Raw genomic sequence first — 14331 nt, forward strand, 5'->3', positions numbered from 1 at the left:
TTATTTTAAATTACACTTCCAGTTTTTATTACCTTCATATGTCAATAGGATGCTAAACCACAGATGTTAAATTTCAAATAGCATTTTAAGTTTTGCTCTCTAGTTTTATAAATCATATTACATAAACTTACTGAACTAAATGTGAAAATAGGGTGCCAATTCACTGACTATGTGATGTTCCGAATGGGTTATCAATGTCTATTACGTCTAGCAGACTTGCCCTGCTTTGTTGAATGTGTATTTGGAAGACACTAGGCTCTGTGGGGGAAGAAAAAGAAATAGGTTATTATCTGTGAGGCAGTGAATTATAATCTTGGGTGATGGCGGCATTGGTAGTGATGGGATAAAATGTGTAAACATGATGGATATTAAAGGCAAGAATGACAAGTACTATATGACTAGGACATGTTTTTGGAATATATGCCTCATTAGAGCAGGGATTTTGTCCTGTTCATCTCTTATCACTAGCACCTAAAACAGTCCCTGGGCATAGGATAGGTTAGGTGGAGTTAATGTGAAGCCAGTCGTCGTCATAAAAGTGATAATTGAGTTTGAAGAGGAAGTTCTTTTTATTATAAATCTCTGAATCCAGTATGTCAGCAAACTTAAAAATATTTTTTGGGAATATCATAACAGTTAATTCATGAATAGGTCAGAACTTTCTAATGTTGTATGAATATTATGTGACCTGGTAATCTGAGACACTTTAATGGCGCTTGCCTGCAACTAGCTGTTCTTTTTGATACTGGATAGGACATTTAATTCTGTACAAACAACTACTAAGGGTTTCTTTCCCTTAAAAAATTTTTTTTAATTGTGGTAAAATACATGTAACATGAAAACCTATCATCTAAGCCATTTTTAAATGTACAGTTCAATAGCGTTAAGTACATTCACATTGTTGTATAACCAATCTCTAGAACTCTTCTCATCTTAGAAAGCTAAAACTCTGTTCCCATTAAACCACCCTCTTTATTCCAAACTCATTCTCCTCCTTCCTCCAACCTGTAGCACCATTCTATTACACTTTCTGTCTGTATGGATTTGACAATTCTAGGTGCCTCATATAATTAGGATTATAAAATATTGTCTTTTTGTGACTGGTGTATTTCAGTTAGCATAATGTCCTCAGGGTTCATCCATGTTGTAGTATGTGTCAAAATCTTCCTTTTTAAAGGGTTGAAAAATACTGCATTGTATGTATATACTACATTTTGTTTATCTATTTGCCCATAGCATGACACTTAGGTTGCTTCCACCTTTTGGCTATTGTGAATGCTCCTGCTGTGAACATGGTTGTACAAATATCTGTTCGAGACCCTGCTTTCCGTTCTTTGGGGTATATACCCAAAAATGGAATTGCTGAATGATATGATAATTCTACTTTTACTTTTTGAGGAACCACCGTACTGTTTCCTATAGTAACTGTATCATTTTACATTTCACAACAGAGCACAAGGGTTCCAGTTTCTCCATATCCTTGCCAATACCTGTTATTCTGGCTTGTTTTGTTTTGTTTTTTGTTTTTTGTTTTTTATAGAGTTGAGGTTTTGCTGTGTTGCCCAGACTGGTCTTGAACTCCTCAAGTGGCACAAGCGATCCTCCTGCCTTGGCCTCCCAAAGTGCTTGGGTTATAGTTATGAGCCACTGTGCCCAGCCTATTTTGGTTTTTTGATAGTAGCCATCACAATGGTTCGAGTGGATTGCTAAGTCATACAGGGATGTAAAATTGTGTCTGTTGAATCATCTATATGAAATACTTCATAGGAATTGAAGCTATTAAGATTTTGATGCCTGTTGGAGATTATTGGTGACTTGCTAAAAGTAATTTTAGTAGGGTAATAAAGGGAAAAATGAAATTTTCAGAGGGTGTAGGAGTTAGTGGTTCACCAGGAAGTGTAGTTTCTCTTTAGAAAGTTTGGTCAGCTGACCACAGCACTGTGGCAGTCTCCGGCCTTGCAAAAATAACTTTTTTCCATATAGCGGTCAATAAGTATTGAGGTCTCTTAAACTACACAAGTGACTCTTCCTGTGCTATATTTGTTTTTGCAGAGAGAAGTGTGAATTCTGAATCTCTGCTACTAATTTGGGAGTCTTTGTTTTATATTTGTAATCGGAGGTAAAGAGAATTGATGTAATTGTGGCTTAATATGTTAATACTAGAACTTAATATTCTCAATTTTACTGTATGTTTTTAATTAATTAATTAATTAATTAATTTTATTTATTTATTTATTTATTTTTGAGACAGAGTCTTGCTCTGTCGCCCAGGCTGGAATGCAGTGGCACGATCTCGGCTCACTGCAAGCTCCGCCTCCTGGGTTCATGCCATTCTCCTGCCTCAGCCTCCCAAGTAGCTGGGACTACAAGTGCCCATCACCACGCCCAACTAATTTTTGTATTTTTAGTAGAGACGGGGTTTCACCGTGTTAGCCAGGATGGTCTCGGTCTCCTGACCTCATGATCTGCCCGCCTCGGCCTACCAAAGTGTATTTATTTATTTTTTGAGACAGAGTCTCACTCTGTTGCCCAGGCTGGAGTGCAGTGGTGCAGTCTCGGCTCACTGCAACCTCTGCCTCCTGGGTTCAAGCGATTCTCCTGCCCCAGCCTCCCGAGTAGCTGGCATTACAGGCGCATGCCACCACGCCCAGCTAATTTTTGTATTTTTTAGTAGAGATGGGGTTTCACCACCTTGGCCAAGCTGGTCTCAAACTCCCAACCTCAGGTGATCCACCCACCTCGGCCCCAAAGTGCTGGGATTACAGGAGTGAGCCACTGCTTCCGGCCTGCTGTATGTTTTTATTATATACTATGAGATAATGAGATTAGTGATGGATTGCTTTGTAATACTTTGGGAGTCTGGGTTTGGCAGAGTGTGCCCCTATGAAGACTAAGTGGGACTATAATGATTGTGTTTTCTTAAATCAGAATCAGGATGCATAACCAGATGAAGGAAGACATAGTCGGGAGCCATAGTTTTAATATCTAGATTTTGGAATTTTAGGGTGATTTACTATAGGGACAAAGTATTTGAAATTGGGATTGGCGGAACATCAGTGGAACCAGCGATTGCTAAGTTAAATATATACAGGGACATTAGATAATGGATGATGAGGAAATGGGTAAAAGAAAGTGAGGGCCTTGTGAGTTGAAACAAAAATAATCAAACCTGGAACACTTTCCATTTATTGTATTAGATATCTTCATTTCAATAAAATTAATGTATATGACAAAATTTTATTGTCCTCCTAGTTCAAGTGGTATTCTACTTTTATTTCCATAAAAATATACTTTCAGGATAGGGAAAGGGTAAACTTGCATTATAAGTTTGTATTTTCTCACGAAGGGACAGGAGAGAAGAAAAAAATCATTTGCTTATTGTCTAGGCTATGCAAAAAAAAAAAAAGAACAGCCTTGTTTTTTTATTACATTTTTTCATTTAGTTTATGATTTGCCATATTTATTATTTTAAAACATGAAGTCTGTAGTACAAGGTTTTATTTAAAAACATTCTCAAAATCAAGGACTATTACTACATGCATTCAGGGAAGATTATCTAGCTATATTGGAGAGATCTCCTTCGCTAGTAATTGATGAAACCTAGGAATTGAACCCCAGCTTCTCTGACTTAAAGCTGCCCTATTGTGAAGTAGAAATGAAGTGTAAGCAATATATTCTTAAGTATACTGGTCAATTCTGATTTACATAGAAGACCTAACAGTTTATTTACTCCCTACTATTTGTTATGGGATTATGCTGATAGTAGCTATTACTAATAGAAGATACGGTCTAAATCAGGGAATTCGTGTTCTATCAGGGATGGCATATGTGCATATCTAAATAATTACTGTACACTGGGATATGTTCTAGATAAGAGGTGTATATAAAGTAGATAGAGATGAGGAAGTGGATGATGGGCCTGTATGCCAGTACTACTATCAGGAAAAATTTCATGAAGATGATTTCTGTATTGGGCTAGTAAAAAGCAGGGAGTTTCTTGGCAGACAATTAGGGGAATAAGTGAAGCATACATTTTGACATGAGCAAAGCACAGAATCATTTTATTACTCCAAGACTCATAAGACTGGCCCTGTTTACTTCAAAGTTACTTTCTTTATTATCAATCCTGAGTTGGCTTCAAATGAGGAGGCATAGCCATGCATTTCTGAAAAAAAAGGGAGAGAATTAGTCTGTTAGGCAGCAGTGGGTGAACAGTGAGCAAAGATAGGAAGATGAATTTTGATAGGCAGAGTTGCATATTTTGCAACTAAAGGTAGACATTGCAGTTGTATAGTTGAAAGACCCTTTGGTTATTTTAGCTGCTTATAACCATTATCGTTAGTGATGTGCATTTTTTCTTTTTTTTTGAGATGGAGCTCTGTCGCCCAGGCTGGAGTGCAGTGGTGTGATCTCGGCTCACTGCAACCTCAGCCTCCTGAGTAGCTGGGACTACGGGCACACACCACGAGGCTTGGCTAATTTTTGTATTTTTTGGTAGAGATTGGGTTTCACCATGTTGGCCAGGCTGGTCTTGAGCTCCTGACCTCAAGTGATCTGCCCACCTTGGCCTCCTAAAGTGCTGGGATTACAGGCACAAGCCACCGTGCCCAGCCCATATACATATTTTTATGTAAGTATGTTTGTAAAGTTAGAGATAAAATAGTGATAATACAGTGTTACTTTGAGATAGTATAGTGTTACTTTGGCTGGTACTCTAATTTTACTGTATGCTGCTATTAATTTATATTTGGGGTTTTAAGAAATTTTGGTTTGGTTATCATGCAGTTTGTAGGGTTAAATTAATACTATTAAGATGGTGTGGTTTTTCTTACTGAGGACAGTTAAAATTTTCAAATATAAAGCCAGATGAATTTATTTATTTAACAATGGTTATTGAATGTGAACTATGTCCCAAACCTGCTACCGTTTAAAATTCAGATGAATTCTCCAGTAATTGCCTCAGAAATTTTCCGGAGCAATTAGGTAAAAGGAGTATGATTTTATGGGTTAGGTAGCCTTAATATTTTGCCACAGTATAACTCTTAAGCTTAAAGTAATTTCCATTTTTATTTACTATACAAAGTATAGTTTTAATATTTGTATATTCTTATATGCATATTTACTAAAAGTTGTGCCTTATGAAACTCATACTGTGTTTTGTTGTTGTTTTTTGTTGTCGTGTTTTTTTTTTTTTTTTTTTTTTTTTTTTTTGAGACGGAATCTCGCCCTTGTGCCAGGCTGGAGTGCAGTGGCACGATCTCAGCTCACTGCAACCTCCGCCTTACTGGTTTAAGTGATTCTCCTACCTCAGCCTTCCGAGTAGCTTGGATTACAGGCATGCGCCACCATGCCCAGCTAATTTTTGTATTTTTAGTAGAGATGGGGTTTCACCATGTTGGCCAGGATGGTCTCGATCTCCTGACTTCGTGATCTACCAGCCTTGGCCTCCCAAAGTGCTGGGATTAGAGGCATGAGCCACCGCACCCAGCTGAAACTCGTACTGTGTTTTAAGTGTTATAACATTGAGGAATTTGAGGCAGTGGTGTGTGGTCTAATAACAGAGCATGAGAGAGCTTCAGCTTTGATACTTAATTTCTATATATCCCATCTTATTCCGAAAGGAATTTCAGTTAGCTTAATTTCCATTTTAGTGCTGTTTCTTTTTGTGTTAATTTATTGTTTTCTTAATTGTGCTGATTTAAAATCCAGCCAACAAATTAATTTAACGCTTGTCTGTCTAAATGTATTTTCACTTCAAAGTCTCTTCAGTGAATATGAAGACAATTAGCTATATTTTTGCTAACAAGATTTGCTGATGGGGAGAAGAGCGAGATAAAGGAACAAATCAAGGATGAGTGTTAGGTTTTTGGCTTGAACTACTGTTGAATGGTGGTGGTTTTTGGCTTGAACTGCTGTTGAATGGTGGTGCTATTTGGGCATGTTTGTGATGCCCATTACACATCCAGTGGACAGGCCAATAGACAGCTCTTTGACTCTGGAGAGATTTAACAAACTTTAAACATTCTCAGGAGCTTAGATGAACAATGAACTGTTCCACTCTTTTAAGAACTTGAATCTTGACACACAAGTGGGTATCTTAAAGTCACATTGCATGTGATTTTGGAGGCTTTTGAGAATCCATTTATTGATTTAGGATTAGGGGAATACAAATTTAGTGTTTTAGGAAATTGTTTAAAGCAAAGTGAATATTAAACTCGAATTTTGTTTGTATCAAAAATTCTAAGTATTAAAAATGTTTCTCTGACTTGTCTGAGAAGGCTCAGTAAATAATTCTTCAATTTGTAATGAGAGTTTTGCTTTGCATTAGCTATTGGTCTATAAAGTCCAGTAAGATAGTCTAATCTCTGCCTTCAGTTTTATAGATTAGTGGACGAGACAGACAAGTACTGAAATACTTAAGAAATACTTTTCACAAGTGGCAATAGAACAATGTGTTATGGACTCATTGCAGAAGGCTGAGGAGCAGTAAAGGAGGGAAGGTTCAAGAAAGCCTTCAAAAAGGAAATAACACTTTAGCCAGAGCCCTACTCACCAGTAAGAGCAAAAATTGTGCAACTTTGATATTTAAGAAATGGAGGGTTACTGCTAGTCATAGTGGTGGTGAGTAATTCTATATGACTAAAGCATCAAACTCTAATAAGAGCATTATAAAAAGAGGCTAGAAAATTGGACAGGCAACATTCAACATATCTTATAATTAAAGATTTGGTAGTTTATGTTAGAGGTGATAGACACATAGGAGAGTTTTTAAATGTGGGAGTAAAATGGTCAGACTTGACTTTTTAGAACAGTAATAAAGGAGTGCAGTTATTTTTGGAATTCATTTATGTGACTTTTTAAAGACTTCTGGGGTAGGCTGGTGCAGTGGCTTATGGCTGTAATCCCATCACTTTGGGAGGCTAAGGTGGGCAGATGGCTTCAGTCCAGGAGTTCGAGACCAGCCTGGACAACGTGGCGAAACCCCATCTCTACAAAAAATACAATTAGCCAGGCGTGGCGGTGCGTGCCTATAGTCCCAGCTACTCGCTAAGGGACGCTGAGGTGGGAGAATCACCTGAGCCCAGGAGTTTAAGACTGCAGTGAGCTGTGATTGCACCACTGCATTCCAGCCTGGGCAACAGAGTGAGTCCCTGTCTCAATAAAGATCTTTAGGGTAGACTTAATTGCAAATGCTTTCTTAAAGGATTTGTTTGTTTTCTTAGCTTTTTTTTAAAAAGTCACACGATAAAGGGTGTGGTGGGTACCTATAACTTAATACGGACATCATTTAGCTATATTTTTGCCCAGTTAATACAGTAAATGATTAAAAATTCTTTCTTGCTTTAGGATTATATGAAATAATTAAATTATATAATAAATGAATTATTTTATTAATGTTTAGTGCTATTCTCATACAGTCTATGAATAAGGTTTCTTAGTATATTATGTTTCTCAATAATACAGAATTTTTTTGTTTCTTTCTTAGTAATAGCTTCATCAGAGACAATAGAATAGTGGTCGGGAAGTTAAAATGAAATTATATGTGTAGATAATTCTGTTTCATAGAGTTTAAATGAACTTTGGTGCTACTTCTATTCAGGAACTATTTAGACATTAATGTTGATGTGTTAAAAAAAAAAAAAAACCTGCTCTAGGCCAAATCAGATCTTAATCTGGTGGTAATTTTGTACCCACAGAGTTTATTGTTTAACAGGGCAAATTAGATGTATTCTCTTTATATATTTATCATAAGAGTAAGAAATGTAAGTGTTCTAAAAGTACATATAAAGGTAAAACAATTCAGAGGGGAAGATTATGTCTGGAGGAAGGGCATCAGAAACTCTGTAGGAGCTAGGGCTTAAAATTAAAAGATAAGTAAGCTTTGGAGGTGTGCAAGTGGGGAGACCACCAACAAGCAAAGAAAAAGCATACACAAAGACACAGAAAAATGATTATCATGGGATTTTTTTTAAAGTAGAATCTTAGCAACTTTTAAAAAGACAAATTATCAGGCAATTACCACCTCAGACCTACTGAATCAGAAACTACTGGGATGAGGCCCAGCAATGTGGCCCTCCAGGTGATTCTGAAGCACACTCAAATTTGACAAACTGCTTTGCAATTTCAGGCAGATAAATTGACCTGGAATATGCAACTCTTTCTGATCTTTGATCTAGGAAAGGTTTTAAAGAAATAAATCTGAAGTAACAACATTTAAAGAGTTCCAGTAATTAGTTCAATAATAATAGTTAACATTTATTGAGCCATTTTATGTACTAGACCTTTTGCTGAGTAAAGGTTATTATCTCAGTTTTATAGATGAGACACAGAGAGGTTAAATATGTTAATTGTCACACAGCTAAGAAAGTACCAGATCCAGAATTTTAATTTATGTAGCTTACTATAAAGCTGACATTTTTTGGTGGGAAATAAGTTCCAACTTGTAGATACCTTTTTAAAGTACAAAACAAAGTTTTTACTTGTTTTATGGACCACTTTTGTATCTCTGATGGGCATGAAAATTGCTAAGAACACTATTGTAGATTTTTATTTTAATAGAGCATTCTCCATTTTAAACTTTAATTATAGAAAGCATTTTAAGAAATGGCATGCTAGGCTTTAAGAAAACTGGATAAATGAAAATCCAAACTTAAATAAGATAAATATTTGGACGCAAAAGTTCTCAAGGTTCATTATGAGAAATGTAGTCATTTCACATAAAAGCTTTGTTTTGCACATTTCTCAATAATGTAATTTGTCATGTAAAAGAAGAAAAGTCTGGAGTGGGCCAGGCATGGTGGCTTACACTTGTATTCCCCAGCACTTTGGAATGTTGAGGCAGGAGGATTGCTGGAGCCCAGGAGTTCGAGACCAGCCTCCGCAACATACATGGGGAGACCCCAGCCCTACAAAAAATAGTAATAATAATTAGCTGGGCATGGTGACATGAGCCTGTGGTTCCAGCCACTTTGGAGGCTGAGGCAGGAGGATCATTTGAACATGGGAGTTTGAAGCTATGGTGAGCCATGATCATGCCACTGCATTCCAGTTTAGACAACAGAGTGAGACTCCGTCTGTGAATGAGTGAATGAATGAATGAAAAAGAAAAAGCTTAGAGTGATTGTACCAGGCATTCCTGAGGTACATTCACATTTTATAATTAAACTCAACCACTCTTTGTACTAAATTTTTTCTCGCTGACATTGACCTAAGATATATTCCTTTCCCCTCTGTGTTTCTGCAACTATTTAAGTTGATATCCTTCTCTAAGTCAGATTCAAAATAATATTTTGAAATGCACTGATACTATAAGTATCTAAAAATACATCTTTTCAGATGCTTAATCTTTGAGCAGAGAAAATACAAACATTCTAATTAAATGTGCAAGATGCGTATATAAGTAACCATGAGGATCTTTGTTAATATGGAGTAACGACATCATAAACAATCTTTTCTACTGTCCTTTTTTATTTACGTTCAATTTTTTGAACAGGCAATACAGTCATACAATCCAAAAGATATGAAAAGACATAATAGTAATGTCTCATTCTCATCCGTTTCCCTTAGGTACCCATTTCCCTTCCCCACAGACACATACTTTGTTAATAGTTTTTCTTCCAGAGATGATATATGCATATGTACAAGCAAATGCAAATGTTTTTATTTCTTTTTAACACCAGTAGTAATATATTACATATATACATACTGCACTGTGTATATAATGTACACTATTGTTTCCTGCTTTTTACATTTATACTTAATATGTATTTTTCAGATACTGTCATCTTACTATATATAAAAAGCTAACTCATTTGTTTTTCAGCTCTCTCATATTTGATGGTATGAATAAAACAAATTTAGCCAGTTTTGTATTAAGAGGTTTCTTTGATTGTAGTTTTTTGCTGTTACTAACAATGCTGCAGTGGTTGGGCGCGTGGCTCACACCTGTAATCTCAGCACTTTGGAAGGCTGAGGCGGGTGGATCACCTAAGGTCAGGAGTTCAAGACCAGCCTGGATAACATAGTGAAACGCTGTCTCTACTAAAAATATGAAAATTAGCTGGACCTGGTGGCACGCATCTGTAATTCCAGCTACTCAGGAGGCTGAGGCACAAGAATTGCTTGAACCTGGGAAGCCGAGGTTGCAGTGGGCCGAGATCGCACCACTGCACTCCAGCCTGGGCAACAGAGTGAGATCCTGTCTCAAAACAAACAAACAAAGTGCTGTGGTATGTAACTTTGAATATAAATCATTTCATGTGTGTCCCATTTTTATCTGGAGGACAAAGTTGTAGAAGTACAATTCAGAGACAGGGTCTTGCATTGTTAAGCAGGCTGGTCTTGAACTCCTGGCTTCAAGCAGTCCTCCCAAAGTGCTAGGATTACAAGTGTGAGCCACCATGCTCGGCCCCCACTTGCTTTTGAATACAGTTTTTCCTCTGACACATGTATATATTTGGAGAACTCTATTACCACAGGAAATCACAAGAAATAGCATCATAAATGTGGGGAATTTTACTTTGACATTGTGCCAGTGCAGAATAAGATTCTAGTAAATCTTTATCATAAAGAAAAAAATGTATTCCTGTTGTAGGTCTCTAGTATTGTGATGATAAAATTTAGTCGTTTTTCAAAGAAAAAGAAAGGTTTATAGGCAGTTTTAGTTCCTTAAATATCAGTATCACAAGTAGCAAAAATTAATGAGAAAGTTAAATTTTATCAGATTTATTTTTCATTTTATTTGTATTTAATAATTTGTTGAATGGTAAAACCAGAATGCTTTTAATATGTCTTGAGGCCTGAAAGAAAGTTCCTTTGAAATTAAATTTCAGCAATGTAGTTGTGTAGAATTTGAACAATTCACAATACTGACTTTCAGTGCTTCTGAAAGCAGGAAGTGTATTACTGACACGCAGAAATATTCCAGCCCAAAGAACATCCCTACTGCCATATGTGGTAAGAATTTGTCACTAACCCACAAACTAGTTCTGTAATGCAGTGAATAAGCAGAATTGGTCTTTGTTGGACATTTCCAATTCAATATGAAAGAACTTTGTTTTGCAGTGTCTTGTAAGTAATTATTAGCTTATGCCTTGGGAGAAAGCCTGGCACATCATGGGTGCGTGCTCATGGTTTATTGAGAGAAGAAAATTCTTTTAGGCATGTTTTTAAAACTTGGTTATTGTGACCCTTAGTTAAAACACTGAAATTACTCGAATATGTTAAAGACTGAGTTAAATATTCTGACTCAGCTTATTAATGATATCTTTAAATTATATTACTTTTATTCTGTTTTCCCTCTTTGCTGCTCATGTGAAATAAATATGAATCTTATGTTTGCACTTATGCTATAAAAGAAATTATCCTTGGGGTTAATTATTAAGGGATGGGGAAATTAAGAGCTAAGAGACAGGAAAATGAGTTGTGAGGAATTGGGGTCACCAGATTTCATTAAAAATTTGAAAATATCACTGTTTCTCTAAACTTTAATTTTTATTTGTTGTATTTTAAGCGGTTAAGAAGATTGTCTACCAAATATAGAACAGAAAAGATATATCCCACAGCCACTGGAGAAAAAGAAGAAAATGTTAAAAAGAACAGATACAAGGACATACTGCCATGTAAGTTGGAAATGCCCTTGATAAAATACATAGAAATGCTAATTAGCCTTTTGTAACCTAACTAGTTTTATTCTTCCTGAGTTTCACTGTTAAGGAAGTAGTAATTAACCTATCTTTCAAAGTACATGGAAAGATAATAATTCATAATTGTGCTTTTTGTTTTTCCTTCTGATCCTAATTTTTGTTTAATTTTTTTCCTGTAAGTATCACAGTTGCTCTAATACTAAATTACTTTTAAATACTGTAAATCCAAGTGAAAATATCTTCTGTCAACTCTCTGTTCAAAGATGTTATTTCATTAAAATAATAGACAACTGAATACATTTTATAAAATGCTAACAATGTTGATTTTTCATATATCTATACATAAGAACCTTAATTGATTAATTATGCATGAGAAAATGAAGCATAGGATGACTCAAACATCTGTGTGTCTACTATTCTCAGCAGTCTGAATATGTGCCTCTAAGTATATGTCTTAGACTGATTGCATTACATTCTAATGATATTTTATTTATTTATTTATTTATTTATTTGTTTGTTTGTTTGTTTAGAGGTGGGGGTTCTCACTGTGTTCCCCAGGCTGGTCTCAAACTCCTGAGCTCATACGATCCTCCCACCTCAGCCTCCCCAAGTGTTGTGATTACAGGTGTGAGCCACTGCGCCCTGTCTGTATTCTTAAATAGCACAGTTTTCTGGCAAGATAACTTTAACTCTGAAAGTATACTTAAGGTGTGCCATCACTTTATCCAGTAAAAGCTATACGTCATACTTGCTATCTTTTAAAGCTGCCGTCGTTTTTCTTTCTTCATAAGTATTTTGAAATATCTACATTCCATCACATCATTTCCTCAATTCTTATTCAGTCTTAAAGGTTGTTCTCTCTAAAATGCCTTTAAAGTTCTTGGTGACTTTTTTTTTTTTTTTTGTGACAGTCTTGCTCTGTAGCCCAGGCTGGAGTGCGGTGGTGGGATCTTGGCTCACTGCAACCTCTGCCTCCCAGGTTCAAGCGACTCTTGTACCTTAGCCTCCTGAGAGCTGGGACAGCTCTAATACAGGTGCCTGCCACCATACCCAGCTAATTTTTTGTATTTTAGTAGAGACAGGGTTTCACCATGTTGCCCAGGGCCCAGTGGCTTTTTAATTGCCAGATTTGGTGGTCTTTTTTTACTGTTTATTCTAACAGGAAGAATATTGATTATTCAAGAATGTTGAACTATTTTGATGCCATTGATCAATCCCTATTTTTGAAATTTTCTTCTTCCATGATAACTCTTTTAAAACACCTCTTCCCTCTCATCTCTTTCCCTCTTTTCTCCACTAACTTCTTTGCCTCAATTTAATCCTTCATCCTTTTGTTGTTCTACATTATTATCAGCTGTGGGATATGTGGATAGCCTGTGTTGGCAGAATTAACAAGTGGCAACATAACATAATGGTATAGTGTTCTGATTCTGGAAGTTGAAATCCTGACTCCACCAGTTGCTAGCTATATGACCTTGGACTGATCCTCTCTGTGCCTTGGTTTTGTCATCCTTAAAATGGAGATTATAATAATACTTTTTAGGATTATTTGCACAATAGGTTAATATTAAATGCTTAAAAGTGTACCCAGTGGCCAGGCGCGGTGGCTCACGCCTATAATCCCAGCACTTTGGGAGGCCGAGACTGGTGGATCACGAGGTCAGGAGTTCGCGACCAGCCTGACCAACATGGTGAAACCCCATCTCTATCAAAAATACAAAAATTAGCCAGATGTGGTGGCACGTGCCTGTAATTCCAGCTACTCAGGAGGCTGAGGCAGGAGAATTGCCTGAACCCAGGAGGTGGAGGTTGCCATGAGCCGAGATTGCGCCATTGCATTCCAGCCTGGGCGACAGAGTAAGACTCTATCTCAAAAAAAAAAAAAACAAAAAAACAAAAAAAACCAGTGTACCTAGCACATAGTAACCAATCATTAAGCTTTTGCAAAATAACCAGTATACCTAGCACATAGTAACCAATCATTAAGCTTTTGCAAAATACACTCCACTTTTCTCACCTGTTGTCTTAGTCTGTTCAGGCTATTACAGAAATACCATAAACAGGGTTGCTTATTAATAACAGACATTTGTATCTTCAAATTCTAGAGACTGGGAAGTCCAAGATGAAGGCACCAGCAGATATGCTGTCTAGTGAAGGGTCACTCTGGCTCATAGATGGTGCCTTCTCACTGCACTTCACATGGTGGAAGGGGCAAACAAGCTCTCTCGGGCCTCTTTAGTAAAAGCTGGTAATCCCATTCACAAGGCATAATCTAATCATCTCCTAAAGGCCCTACCACTTAATACTGTTGCATTGGAATTTATGTTTTAACTTATGAATTTGGGAAGGACACAAATATTCAGACCATAGCACCAGTCTGCCTCAGAATAGGGGATGACATGGCTTTCTGGATACTTCGTATTAAGCAAGATAATTTTAAGGTGATCCTACATTGCTCTGGAATTATTCATGCACACATTCAAAGAGTTAGCCTGTCCACTTTCTTTTTCTGTCGTCTAGCCGTAGGTTTCTCTTTTCATATGATGTTTCATTTTCTTCTTTGTTTTTGAAACGGTGTCTTGCTCTGTTGCCCAGGCTGGAGTGCAGTGGTGCGATCTCCGCACACTATAACCTCTGCCTACCAGCTTCAAGCTATTTTCCTGCCTCAGCCTCCCAAGTAGCTGGG

The 14331-nt window shown here is 36.8% G+C and overlaps 1 protein-coding gene across 10 annotated transcripts in view; it reads left to right on the forward strand.

The window, feature by feature from the left end:
- Nucleotides 1-14331, forward strand: part of PTPN12 (protein tyrosine phosphatase non-receptor type 12) — a 102775-nt gene that overhangs the window by 22271 nt on the left and 66173 nt on the right. For 5 of the 10 annotated variants that reach the window (NM_002835.4, XM_006716073.5, NM_001131008.2 and 2 more), the window contains exon 2: nt 11513-11621. In NM_002835.4, the coding sequence (NP_002826.3) occupies nt 11513-11621 (109 nt within the window). Of the gene's footprint in view, nt 1-5212; nt 10230-10362; nt 10957-11512; nt 11622-14331 lie in introns of those variants that run through there. The other 5 variants (XR_007060120.1, XM_047420673.1, XM_047420674.1 and 2 more) reach the window with 3 other exon arrangements.

This window comes from Homo sapiens, chromosome 7 (assembly GCF_000001405.40).
Source record: "Homo sapiens chromosome 7, GRCh38.p14 Primary Assembly".
NCBI classification, from domain to species: Eukaryota; Metazoa; Chordata; class Mammalia; order Primates; family Hominidae; genus Homo; species Homo sapiens.